At 33.6% G+C, this 14794-nt stretch overlaps 1 long non-coding RNA gene across 1 annotated transcript in view; it reads right to left on the bottom strand.

Annotated features, from left to right (window-relative positions):
* LINC00587 (long intergenic non-protein coding RNA 587) overlaps nt 1-14794 on the bottom strand; it is a 137873-nt gene that overhangs the window by 80097 nt on the left and 42982 nt on the right. The window lies entirely within an intron of this gene.

The following is a 14794-nucleotide window of genomic DNA, read 5'->3' as shown; positions in this document are numbered from 1 at the left end:
TTAATTTGTTTAAAAATAAAATTTTGAAATCAAAACTTTTGAGTGAAACAAAAATTTCATTTAAATATGTTCACTATCATCGCCATCATTTTTTTATATGTATATATATGGAGAGAGAGAGAAAGAGAGAGACAGAGAGACAGAGGCAGAGGGAGACAGAGAGAGAGAGAGAAAGAGAGTGAGTGAGTGAGTGAGTATATTTCACTCCCATCGCCGAGGCTTTAGTGCAGTGGCACCATCTCTGCTCACTGCAACCTCCTCTGCCTTCCCGGCTCAAGTGTTCTCCTGTTTCAGCCTCGTGAGTAGCTGGGACTACAGGCCGGTGCCACCACTGCCCGGCTAATTTTTGTATTTCTTGTAGAGACAGGGTTTCACCATGTTGCCCAGGCTGGTCTGAACTTCTGAGCTCAATCAATCCACCTGCCTTGGCTTCCCAAAGTGCTGGGATTACAGGCATGAGCCACTGCATTTTTCATAGCTTGAAAAATTAACTCCACTGAACAAGTGAGAAAGAACAAATTCTTATTTAATATAAAACTTTCAAGCTCCTGGAGAAAATGCTTCAAAATTATTTTATGAAACATTTATCTGGCTTATTATTTTAAACTTAGTGGTGAAAATAAAAGCTATCTTCTCATTTTATTTGTGTGAACGCTGAGGGAGCCAATCTCTCAAGATGAATCTTGAGTGGCCTAGATTCAAACTGGACCTAAGTGGCCATTTACTGATTAGAGGTCACACACACACACCTTGAGGTACTGGAAAACCCATGTGTCCTTAATTTTGGGATTTCTTAGCTACCTGTTCCTGTTTATGCCACCTAAACCAACCAGTACACTGTGATCTTTGTCTAAAATCAGAACTCAGCAAGCATTATCCAATTAGAACTAAGTAAGTTTGAATCCTTCATTTGCATAAGCAGGCCTTAAGTGGGAACCCTGGGCCAGAACTTCCTCTATAAATGATAAATCTTCCTTTATTGTCTGGAACACACCTCATTTTACACCAAAGGCTGCATCTCCCTGGTTTGCAAACTGCTCCATCTAATCTCTTTTCTTTAAATTATTTTTCAGAGAATTTTTATTTATACTTGTAAATAAAGATTTTTGAAAGACCAACCTATAAATATTAGGCAAAATATTCTCATTTCTATTTGAAAAACTGGATTTAATCCAGCAATACAGGCATGAAGTTTTGGAAATTATGTTAAACTGTTATTCTTCCTTATATATTCTTAAACTAAATAGGGAGGAAAGCAGAAACATAAATTTTAGGAAAACACTTTGATTGACTTTTGGTCTAAAATTTGAAGGCCCTTGAGATATTACAAATAAGAAAGAGTAAAATAAATACAAAGCTAAATATTTATGCATATTATTATAATTATAATGCGGGATTTGTCACCTGATAACTTGATCACAATGTACAAAGGTAATTTGAACAATGAAAAGAGATAATAGGAATAGGGGTTATTCAAATAGCAATAAACCTAGGGAGACATATAATTATTGAAAAATTCACTATGACAGGTCATTTCTGAATATAATGAAAACTACAATTTTTAGTTTAAAATCTTTGGAGAGTTATAAAAACATCATTTATTGGCGGTGTTCTGAGTAAATAAAAATTGTATGTGCCTCGTCTCTCAAATGTCTTGCTTGGTCTCTTGCTGAGAGAAGAGGAATAGCAGTCACAAAAGTTAAGAATACTGCTTAAGAGTCAGGAGACTATGGAGAAGTATACTTAAGTCTAGATCTACTTTTGAGTAAGAAGAAAATAACTTTTTAACAAAAATATTAGTGCTAAAGGTAAGTATTGAAAAGGTGTGGAAAACCATAGCATCTATTATATGAAGAGGAGCCATAGAAAAATGAATATTAAATGATAATGCAGTAATATGAATTTTATTTTCCATTTAATATGTAAATATAATTTTCCATTTAAACATAATTAATTTTAAAACTTAAGAGCAGTAAAACTTAATTCGTTTAAAAATAAAATTATAAAATCAAAACCTTTGAGTGAAACAAAAATTCCATTTAAATACGTTCACTATCATCACCATAATTTATAAATTTATGCTCCAGATAATACAATAAATTATGAAAAGTAATGACCTATAATTTACAAGAAATGGCATTATAATTATGACTTGAAGATGATAACATTATCTGCTTTAAGTTACACTATCAGACATAAAAGCGAAATGAGTAGTTACAAAATAAATGTACACAATCTACAGTTTTCTTATACATCTAAATTATCTTATAGAAAATGCAAGCAAAAGTAAGACCCAATTTATAATAAAAATAACTCTAATAAACATCATCATAAAAACTAACAAGTACCTTGAATCACCTGTATAAAGGGAGCTACACCACTTCTTTATAGCCACAAATAGGATCTGATTGATTAAATTATCATATTGCCTAATGAGAAATTCAACAAGATGTCAATTCTGTGTACACGAATCTAATTGATAAGTGAATCCAATTCTGATATAATAATATATATTTTATAAAACTTGAAAATAATTTTAGATTCAGCAAGAAGAATAAACCTTTGACTACAATCATTTTGGGCCAAGAAAAGTTCTATCAAAAGAAACTCATTCCACAAAGAAATAAAATATTGCAACAGTATAATAATGAAAAGATTTTGGTTCTGGAACACAGATGAGTAGGCTGTGCGATGGAATAGAATTGTGAGTCCCGAGAGTTATAGACATGTGTAGGAAATTATTTTTAATATTTTAATTTCAGAGCAGCAGGAGGAGGAAGTATTTTTTAAATAAACCATACTGCAACAACATAATCTTTTGGGTTAATAAAATGAATCTAGTTACCTTTCTGTTCCTGAATGGCCTCAGACTATATTCAAATCACTGAAATACAGTAAAATGAAATAATGGCAGAGATGTCAAAACTATTACTTCAGAGTAATTCAAGTTAAGAGCAACAGATGATCTCATGAATAACTGGCAAGAGAATTAGCTGAAAGGCAGGCACAACCAGGAGCCTGCCTAGTTTTCCTTTGTTAGTCACAACATATACAAGGCTTAAGCTGCATATTGGAGAATAATTGCACACCAAAGGAACTAACTTCCTAGAGAGAATTGTCAGTGGGAGAATATGGATCGAACAGTGAAAAATGATAAAATATGTCCAGGAGTTTTGTTTTGTTTTGTTTGCTTTTGAAAACTTCAAGCATCTTTACCTAGATACTTTTAAAAATGTGATCTAATATAGAGTAAACTTTCTGATCAAACTGAAAATATAAGTGCTCACTGTCCAAAAATTATCACTCGCATTTTATTATGGTTGAGATATGTCCATCTAGTCCTCATGAATTTCTATCATAATTTAGTATTGACATTCCATAATCTGTAAATTGTAAAATTTATTATTAGCAGCATTCTGCTATTCAGCTTTTCCAGGTCAACAAGCACATATCACTTTATGTCCAGAAAAAAAATAAAATATAAAAAGATAATTTTAGCAAAATCATGAAAAATGGATTTGAAGAAAGAGAATAAATGCAAGGTGCACAAGTGAAAAAAATTACCTATTATTAGAAATGACAAATGATAAGAAATCAAGAAATTATACAAGCAAAAATTATGATACATTAGAACAATGTTTTAAAGATACAAATGGTATCTATAATTCAAAGAAAGGTACATAATTTAAAATGCTTTTTCAATTTGATGATATTTCTAAAATCATCTGTAGGTTTAGATAAGTTTACTTATGTTTCAAGGATATTAAATTTTTATACAATTCCTCTTCTATTTAACAGTACTAGTAGGAATGCATTTAAAATATTAGTGTACTTTTTTATTTAGCTTATAATTGACGCATAGCTGTACATGTGTACGGGATACAGTGTGATGTCTAAATACATGTATACATTGCATGATGATTAAATCAAGGTAGTGAGCGTATCCATCACCTCTAACTTTACCATTTCTGTGTGATAATAACTTTCAACATCCTCTTTTTCTAGCTGTCTTGAAATATGTAGTAGATTGTTATTGGGTACAGTCACCCTACTATGTAGTAGAACTCCAGAGTTTATTCTTCCTATCTAACTGTAACTTTGTACCCTTTGACCAACCTCTCCCCATCCTTCCTTCCTTAACCTGGGGAAGCTACTATTTTACTCTCTACTTCTATAAAATGAATGTTTTTAGGTTCCACATCTAGGTGAGAGCATGCAGTATTTGTCTTTCTGTGTCTGGCTTATTTCACTGAATATTACGTCTCCAGGTTCGTCCACCTCACCATGAATGACAGCATTTCATTCTATTTTAAGGCTGATCAGTATTCCATTTTATATATATACCACATTTTATCCATCCATCAGTTGATGTACATGTATGTTGATTCTATCTTTCACTACTGATAGTAGTACTGCAATAAACATAGGAATGCAGATATCTCCTCTAAATACTGATTTCAATTCTTTTGAATGCATTCCAAGCATTGGCATTACTGGATAATGTAGTAGCTCTATTTTAAGTATTTTAAGAAACTTTCATACTGTTTTCCATAATGGCTATATTAATTTACATTCCTTCCAACAGTGTACAAGCATTCCCTGTTCTCCTTATCCTCACAGCATTTGCAATTTTCTGTCTTTTTGATAATGGCTATTCTAACTGAGGTAGGTTGATATCTCATTGTGTCTTTGATTTAAATTTCCCTGACGATTAGTGATGTTAAACATTTGGTCATATTCCTGCTTGTTATTTGTATCTGCACTTCTACATTTGTTGCATCACTGTTTACAATAGCTAAGATTCAAAAGCAACCTCAGTGTTCATCAATAAATGAGTGGATAAAGAAAATGTGGAACATATACACAATGGAGTGCTATTCAGCTATAAAAAAGAATGAGATCCAGTAGTTTACAGCAACATGGATGGAAAAAGAGATCATTATGTTAAGTGATATAAGCCAGGCAGAGAAAGAAAAATACCACAGCTTCTCACTTATTTGTGAAATCTAAATGTCAAAATAATTGAACTCATGGACACAGTAGAAGGATGGCTACCAAAGACTGAGAAGGTTATTGGAGGGGTGAGAGTGAGGGGGAGGTGAGATGGATGATGGGCACAAAAAAGTAGTTAAAAAGAATGATTAAGACCTGCTATTTGATAGCACAAGAGGTTAACTATAGTACATAATAATTGTATCTATCTATCTATATATTTGTTTGTTTGTTGTGATATGTCTTTGTCTAGTTTTAGTATCAGGGTAATACGGGTCCTGTAGAGTGAGTTTGGAAGTATTCTCTCCTCCTCTGTTTTACACAATAGTTTGAGTAGGATTGGTATTAGTTTTTATTTAAATGTTTGGAATTCAACAATGAATCCATCAGATCCTGGGCTCTACTGAGATACTTTTATTATAGCTCTAATCTCACTACTTGTTATTATTCTGCTCAGATTTTGGATTTGATTCTAGTTCAATTTTGGTAGATTGTATGTATCTAGAAATTTGTCCATTTCTTCTAGATTTTCCAATTTATTGGCATATAGTTGCTCATAGTAGCCGCAAATGATCCTTTGAATTTTTGTAATATCAGCTGTAATGTCTTTTTTCATTTCTGATTTTATTAATTGGGATCATCTCTCTTTTTTTTCTTGGTCTAGCTAAAGGCTTGCCAATTTCGTTTAGCTTTTCAAAAAGCCAACTTTGTTTCATTGATCTTCGTATCACTTTTTATTTCAATTTCATTTATTTCTGCTTTGATCTTTATTATTTCTATTCTTCTAATAATTCTGGGTTTGGCTTGCTCTTGCTTTTCTAGTTCTTTAAGATGCATAATTGACTTGCTAATTTGAAATTTTTCATTTTTCTGATACAAGCACTTACAGCTATAAACTTGCCTCTTAGTACTACTTTTGCTGTATCCCATAGGTTTTGGTATGTTGTATTTCCATTATTATATATTTCAAGAAATTGTTCAATTTCCTTCTTAATTTCTTCATTGACCCACTGGTCATTAAGAAGCATATTGTTTATTTTTGATGTATTCATATAATTTCCAAAATTCCTCTTGTTTTCAATTTCTAGTTTTATTCCATTGTGATCAGAGAAGTTGCTTGATATTATTTGAACTTCTTTGAATGTTTCAAGACTTGTTTTGTGACTTAATGTCTCATGTATCTTTGAGAATTATCTATGTGCTGAGGAAAACAATGTGTATTTGCAGTTCTTTGATGAAATGTTCTGTAAACATCTATTAGATTCATTTGATTTATAGTGTGAATTAAATGTGTGTATCTTTGTTGATTTTCTGTCTGGAAGATCTCTGCAATGCTGAAGGTGGGGTGTCGAAGTCTCCCATTATTATTGTATTGGGGCCTATCTCTCTCTCTCTTTAGCTCTAATACTATTTCCTTTATATATCTAGGTGCTCAAGTGTTGGGTGCATACATTTATAAAGTTGTTATATCCTCTTGTGGGATTGACCTCTTTATTTTTATATGGTGAACTTCTTTGCCTCTTCTTATAGTTTTTCTCTTAAAATCCATATTGTCTGATCCTATCTCTTTCTCTACCTCCTCATAAAGGCCAATAATGGTTAGATATGCCCTTTTGAGGCTATTTTCTAGATCCTATAGCATGTTTAATTTTTAAATTCTTTTTTTCTTTTGTCTTTTCTGACTGTATTTTCAAATAGCCTGTCTTCAAGCTTAATACTTCTTTCTTCTGCTTGATCCATTCTGATATTAAAGGATTCTGATGCAGTCTTCAGTACACCAATTGCATTTTTCAGCTTCAAAATTTCTGCTTAATTCTTTGTAATTATTTCAATCTCTTTGTTAAACTTGTCTCATTGAATTCTGAATTCCTTTTCTGGGTTATCTTGAATTTCTTTGAGTTTTCTTAGCACAGCTATTTTTAGTTCTCTGAAAGGTCACATATCTCTGTTTCTCCAGGACTGGTCCCTGGTGACTTACTTAATTCATTTGGTGAGGTCATATTTTTCTGAATGTTGTTGATGCTAGTAGGTATTCTTCAGTGTCTGGATCTTGAAGAGTTAGGTATTTATTGTGGTCTTCACTGTCTGGGCTTATTTGTAGTAGTCCTTGGTAGGAAGGCTTTCTAGATATTTGAGAGGACTTTGGTGTTGTGATCTAAACTGTTTCTGCTTTAGTGTGCACCCCAAGCCCAGTAATACTGTGGTTTTTGCAGACTCATAGAGGTACTGCCTTGATGGTCTTGGACAAGTTCTAGAAGAATTATTCAGATTACCGGGTAGAGACTCTTTTTCTCTTCCCTTACTTTCTCATAAACATACAGTCTCTGTCTCTGTCTCTCTCTCTCTGTGTGTGTGTGTGTGCACACACATGCATGTTCTGAGACACCTAAAGCTGGGAGTGGAGTTACACAAGCACCCTTGTGGCCACCACTATGACTGTGCTAGATCAGACCTGAACCCAGCACAGTGCTGGGTCTTGCCCAACGCCTGCTGTACCCACTCCCTGGATACTGCCTATGTTTGCTCAAGGCCTGTTGGGGTAGAGCAGGTGGGAAAGCCAGCCAGGCTCATGTCCTACTCCATTCAGTGTGGTGAGGTCCTGCAGACTCCAGTGGGTCCACAATTAGCATTTGGGAGTCAGGAACTAGAGTCAAAAACCTTAGATGTCTACCTGGTATTCTATTGTATTGTGGCCCAGCTGGTACTCAAACCACAAGATACTGTCCTTCCCACTCTTCCCTCCTCTTTCCAGAGGGAGAGGTGCCTCACTCCATAGCCAGCACCACCCTTGGCCACAAGGAGTACTGCCAGACTACCACCCATGTTCCGTTAAGGACCAAGGTCTTTTAAGTCAGCTTGTGGTGAATGCTGCCTTGCTTGGGACTCACCCTTCAGGACACTGGGCTTCCTTCTGGCCCAGCGCAGGTCCATAAATGCCATATAAGAATCCGAACTTCTTTAAGAGAGTTACTCTGAATTCTTTGTCATACATTTCAAAGATCTTCAATTTTTCTAAGACCATTACTGGTGCTTTGTTTCTTTTGATGTTATATTTTCCTGAGTTTTCACAATCTTTACATCTTTATGTTTATGCCTATGTATTTGGGGAAGCAGCTATCTCTTTCAGCTTTTTCACATGTTCTTTAGTGGTGTTAGACATGTACTACATAATATTGAATTGCTGCTCTGCTGTTGCTTCTCATTCTGGGGAGGAAGTAAAATGAGCACCAGAACTAAAGCCCTGCACTAGAACTAACTTGCTGCCCTGCTGTTGTATGCTTGGAACGGTTATCATCAGAACTTATATGCTGCACTGGAACTTAAATACAGACTTGCAGTGGTTTCTGGGTCTGGGGAAGACTTAAGCAAACACCATTGCCAACCTTTAACTTGTTTCCAGATCACGGAAATGTTCCACAAAAGCATCTGGGTTTTCTGAGAAATCCAATCAGGAATTTAGGCCTTCTCACAGATGGTGCCCCCTGCAGCATCTGTGGTGTCAGCCAATCACTTCACTGTGGCATCCTTACTGATCAGAATGCAGAGAAGCAGCCAAGATCCACATACCAATTTCTGTGATCAGTGCCCTCACCCCTTGTCTCCAATTCAACTCAAGTGGTTTTATCCCTCCTGGTACTTCCACGGGATGGGATCGGATCGGGTGCCCCACAAATATTCACAAACTGGTGGGGAGATTGAATGCCTAACCTCCAATTTCTTCCTCTCACCTGAGAAATTGTAGATCTAGAGAAATTCTCTGCAAGTGATCTTATGCTAGCTTGGGGGACAGGGACAGGATCAATGGTCTAAAATGACCATTCCTCTTACCAGTCATGGGTTTTCTCATTTCTGTGTGCACATGGGGTTTTCTGCTTGTCTTCAGAGTTCTGGTGTATTCAGGGTGATATTCTTGTCTTTGAATAGTTGCTAGTGTACTTTTGTGGGTGTAGTAATGCTGGAGAATCTTCTATTTTGCTATCTTGCTGACATTACTCCAGTGCACTTACTTTTGAGGAGTATATATTTGTATAATTTGTTATTAATTTTCTCTTTAATTTTCATGATTCTTTATTGCAGTTTGATTGGAGAAGATTAAATGCTAATGTTTGAGTCAATTCCAATCAGAACTCAGGCTACAGTCTGTGACTCTGTATTCTAACTTAAAGAGAAAAATAATCAGACAGCATGATAAGAAATGGAATTACAGAATGAGCAAATATAAATGCAAAGTACTAACTAATGTTTAAGTGTTAGTGTATCTGGGAGGCATTTCTTTAAAGAGATTATGTTAACATCCTATGAAAATGATGTCCAGTTAAAGTCTGTCTAATAATCTACATGTGTATAAACCACTTGAATAAAGTAGCTATCATAAATTTTGTGCATTTTCAGTGCAAAGACTACATACAAAATAATGAACTAATATGAATAATAAATTGCTAAAGGTGGATAAACTAATTTTGTGGAGTAGTTACAGAATAAAAGTGCATTAAAGAAAGTGAATTCTGAAAAAGTACTGCATTTTCCCCAAACTTTTATATTCTCTCAGCCATTTGTTTTTATTTCAGAGGAGAGTCTTGAAATATAAGCCATAGCTTTATTACTCTTCTTCTGTCTTTCTTTTTTCTGTTGTTCTTTTATTCTTTCCATGTATATCTCTTAAAATAAGTAATCAATGTTAATTTAGAAAAAAAGAAAATAAAATAAAGATAAAAGTAAACTAAACAAGCAAGCCAATATGTATGTCATCTACAATATGAATATACTTGCATTAACATTGTTAATATCTTGGGGCACATCTGTTCACACATAATTTACATACCTATTTATTGAAAACTAATAATGGGATTTTATGTTAAAAGTGCATATTTTTCAGTACATACTTGTGTAATTTAACAATATATTATTGACATATTTTTTATATCATTCACATTTTAAACAAGTACAACGAGCCCCTACTATATGTCAGGAATATCCTCAGCCCTCAAGATACAAAAGACATAAAAATCTATTTTTTTCAGTGCTTACAAAATAAATTTACAAATTATATGTTATGTTATATAATTTATAAATTATGTATTGAGCAGTTTTAAGTGTTATGGAAGTAGAATGAAATGGGGTATAGAACATCAGAGATGTGGGAAAATTCAAATCTCACATAGGATGGTCAGAGCAGACATTGACAAGAAAGTGACATTTAAGGTAAGCAAGTGAATTAGCCATACGAATATCGGGGAGAAAGCACAGTATGACCAGAAGGAGCAATCATCGCAAAGTCTTTAAGTTAGGTGTTAGCCCAGAGCATCCATCTGTCTTTCCTTCCTTTATTCTTCAATTTTCCATTTCTTAAAGAATGAGAGACAGAAATATGCTTATAATTTTTCTACTTGGAATATACAAAGAAAATATATGGATTTTTATTTTTGACTTGTAGGCCTTTTGTTCCACATATTTTCAGAGTATCTCTGAACGCTGAATTCTGATTTTTAAATTATGAGTTATGCTTCCTGTTCTTTTTTCCATCTTTTTGAAGGTATAATTGACAAAATTGTGTATATTTGAGGTGTATAACATGATATCTTGACTGTATATATATATATATGTATATATATGTTCTTTTAGTGTCTCTAGAAGACAAGTTCCATGACACTACAATAAGACTAAAATTTGCTATTCATTTAACATTCTAAATAAAAATGTAAATATCTCTCAGAAATAATTCCCTATTATGTTCTGATATTTATAGAATTTTGAAATTACATTAGAGAACTGAACTGGCACTTCAGATTTGCTTTACGCTCACAATAAATGCAGTGAATCATATAATCAGACTTAGGAACTTAGCCTTAATCAGGCCCAAAGCTGGACTCTTTCTATAACACACAGACTAAAGCTCCCAAAGGCAATATCTGAACGCTTTTATATTTTAAAAAATTAATTTCTTACAAAGAAGAGGAATTCATGTTACTGTTATTTTTAACTCTTTATAGAATAAATAAAGTCTATTTTTATTTTAAATTACAAAATTAAAACAAAATTTCTGGTGAAATATTTTCTGTATCTAAAATTTTTAATTCCTTCTACTTTCGAACCACTAAGATATTTATACTATCAAGTATATTTTTGAATTTATGACTAGGACAGCAGTCACTTTCCCAAAAGCACACAGTCTAAAATAAATATATTGAAATGAATGAAAGATGGGTGGTACATTTATCCCGTTTGCAATGGCAAAAGTTTATTATTATTATTACTTTTATTTTCCAATGTTTTGATTAATGTCATTAATCTCTCTTCAAGTGTTGAGATATATACCTCTTCTTGAAGCATCATCTTACCCTGAAGTCACACTATTTTGACCCTGAAGTCAAACATTTCTTTAGATGAACATCCATTGAAAACAAATTTTGCACAATCACATGTTCTGGGCATTTAAATTATTTTATCTAACAAAAATATCAACCAAAATACATACTTATAAATTTTAGAGACCTACTCTGGCTAGTAAAAATATATTGTCAATTTAAAGATATGAGAATGTGACCGGACATGGTAGCTCACATCTGTAATCCTAGAGCTTTGAGAGGCTGAGGCATGGGGTCACTTGAACTCAGTACTTGGAGACCAGCCTGGGCAACATGATGAAACCCCGTCTCTACAAAAATACAAAAATTAGCCCTGCATGGTGGCATGCACGTGTAGTCCCATGGACTTGGTGTGCTGAGGCCGGAGTATCACTTAAGCCCGGGAGGCAGAGGTTGCAGTGAACCGAGATTGCACCACTGCACTACAGCTCGGGTGACAGACTGAGGCCCTGTCAAAAAAAAAAAAAAAAAAAAAAAGAAAGAAAGAAAGAAAGAAAAAGTAGAATGCTCACAATATACCCAGGAATGCTCACCAAACCAAAACTGGATTTGAGTATTTGTAGCCAGGAAAAAAAATTTAGTTCACATCAGCTCCTTTGCAGCATGGATAGCATTGCTTCCTGTCATTGATACCACAACTGGTTATACAGATGAAGAGCTTGCAACCCCATTACCAGTCATGTCAAAAGCCAGATGTTCTACTTAGAACCTTTACCAGGATATAGAGTCTGCAAAGCTCTTTGCTCAGGTTTCTATTTACTCTAAGATTTCTGGGGGCTCATCTGATTGGAATAGTCAAGGCCACATTCTGGCTCCTACATTTTAGAGGTAAGATTGATAATATGATGAATTCTTTATACACATGAAGGTTATGTAAAAGATGTTTGCAGCCACAATGTGTAACTAATATTCATTACATCATTAAGTGAGCATTAATATCCCAATGTTATAAATAGAAGACTAAGGCCCATTTGATTGCCCTGGTTCTCCTTGTCACAAAAACTAATCCTTCTTGAATGATAGTTCTTATAATATGTCACAGTGCCCTATTTACAAACCTTTAACTTGTATTGAATTCAAAAACAATTCAGCGAATAAGCCACTTTGATAGTTCATAAGAGGTTATACTGATGACATACTGTATTAAAACTATCTATTAAAAATTACGGTTATGTAGTTAAACAAAGCTATTAGATAAAATAAAACCATTTAACGTAAAACCTAGCACATCCTTAATGACCAATACATGAAAATAATAACAAGCCCAATAAAAAATGTAATTAGGCAGCAAAATTTTCTAGAAAATAATTACCACTTGAACCTGAATATGAATACTTAAGTTCCTTCTTTTATTATTATGTTCATTTTTTTCTCATTATTCTATATACCTGCAGAGCTTGTTCACAGATTTAAAACAAATAGAACTGGGGAGTTGGAAGACCTCCTGGATAATTTATGGTCCCATACTTCTATTTAATAAATGATGGAATTTAGATCCATAAATATAAATTTGCTTTTAAGAGTCTAGTTATTCAGATATCTCATAATGCAGTCCAGTTTAACATCTTATGCCAGGATTGTCTTTCTATTACCAGGGTCTTTCTGCTACTACAATATCTGGGAAGTCCCAGTGTTCCAGATTGTTTTCTGGGTCACAAATCTGGCACGGCATGTGCTGCATTTTATTGTTAGACAATATTTATGTAAACCTAAGCAATCAACATTTATTACATATTTATAATTTGAAATATATATTTCTTTTCAATACCAAATATTTTTGCCATAAATGTGACATCAATAAATATTTGTCTATTGATTAGATTGTTATTATTTAATGCAAAATGTTTTATACTATTTTAATGTACGATATAAGTATAGAAATAAAATTACTAGCTAAAAATCACACCAGAAACTGTTCTAACCACTCTACATACGTTTTTACTCCTTTAGTTCTTACTCTAGGTACACTTCTTTTCTTTTTCTTGTCTTCTTTTTGGTACCTAATCTAGGTTATTTTTATTTTTAAAAATAACATTTTTAAAGAACATTTCAGCATTATTCATAATACTGAACATAAAGACACAATGTAAGTGTCCATTAATATAAAAATGGATAAAGAAAATGTGGTATATTTACACAATGGAATGCTACAGCTTTATAAAAGAAGAGAATGCTGTCATTTGTGACATGGGTGGAACTGGAGGACATTATACTGAGTGAAATAAGCCAAGCACAGAGAGACAAATACCGTATGATCTCACTTATATGTGGAATCTAAAAAGTCATTCTTTACATCCTCCTGTAAAGTCCTGCGTAATATCGTTATTCCATTTCAAAAACAAATAAATAAGACCAGAAACAGGGCAGTTAGCTGTCTTGCCAAGGACCACACAATAAATGCTAGAGCCAGGTTTCAGAATCAGTCAGCCTGGCTCCAGAGTCAATATTTTCTAATGACTCTTGCCTTCAAAGTCCAGTTAAGTTAAAATATGTAATTTCCCCCCTGCATATTTTATCATTTGATAAATACCTTTATTGTCAACAGAAGTGGAGTTCACCTAAACTCCTATAAAAACCAACGAAAGAAGAATGCCCTTTTTATTTTAAATTATAGGCAAGTATTGATACCTCAGGCTAAGGATAAAGTGTGCTCCAAACCACTCCTTCAGATTGCCAAACTCTTCTGTGTAAGTAAAGACTGGTCTCTGTAATTTACACCCAATTTGCCTATACTGTTCTCCCTGTGTAATTGACACCAAGTTATTATTATACATAATAAATAAACTCCACGGTTGGAAAAAAGATAGAGTAACAGGTGCTTCCCTTTATACACTTTATGAATATAAATTAGAGCACTATTTTAGTGTAAATGTTGACACCGATCTATATTAAAATGAGGACTACACCTTTAACCCCACTATTTTAATTTTAATATTTTCTTTCACTCGTATGAACACTTAGTAGATAAAAAATTGTGAATACTGCATTATTGCAAAAGTGATAAACTATAAGTAGCCTAAATGTCCATCCTCATATGACCCTTTAAATGCACATGAAAGACAAGGAATGGTATATTTCATGATTGTATGATTCTGACAGGCTCACAGAATTTCTTATGTCTTGGTCAGCAGACATAAGAAACCAATAATATAAAAGGTAGACAGGCATTGAAAGAAAAATGAAAAAATAGTGTGGCTTGCCCTACAGAGCACAGGAGCAATAGCTATTCTGAGTCCAAGGCAATATTACATTGTGGTGCTGTCTACTATCCATTTCAATCAAGTAGACAGTCTCTATGTGACAGATTTAAGTGTATATACAGCATGACAGAGAAATGGAGGAGAGTCAGCAGGAAATGTGAGGAAGTTGAATGAATATACGTATATATATAAATAATATATATGTATATTTAATCCCATAGAATTAAAATTTATAAT

Source organism: Homo sapiens, chromosome 9 (genome assembly GCF_000001405.40).
Source record: "Homo sapiens chromosome 9, GRCh38.p14 Primary Assembly".
Classification (NCBI taxonomy): Eukaryota; Metazoa; Chordata; class Mammalia; order Primates; family Hominidae; genus Homo; species Homo sapiens.
The sequence above is the reverse complement of the archived record's forward strand: the minus strand, read 5'-3'. Positions and strand labels throughout refer to the sequence as shown.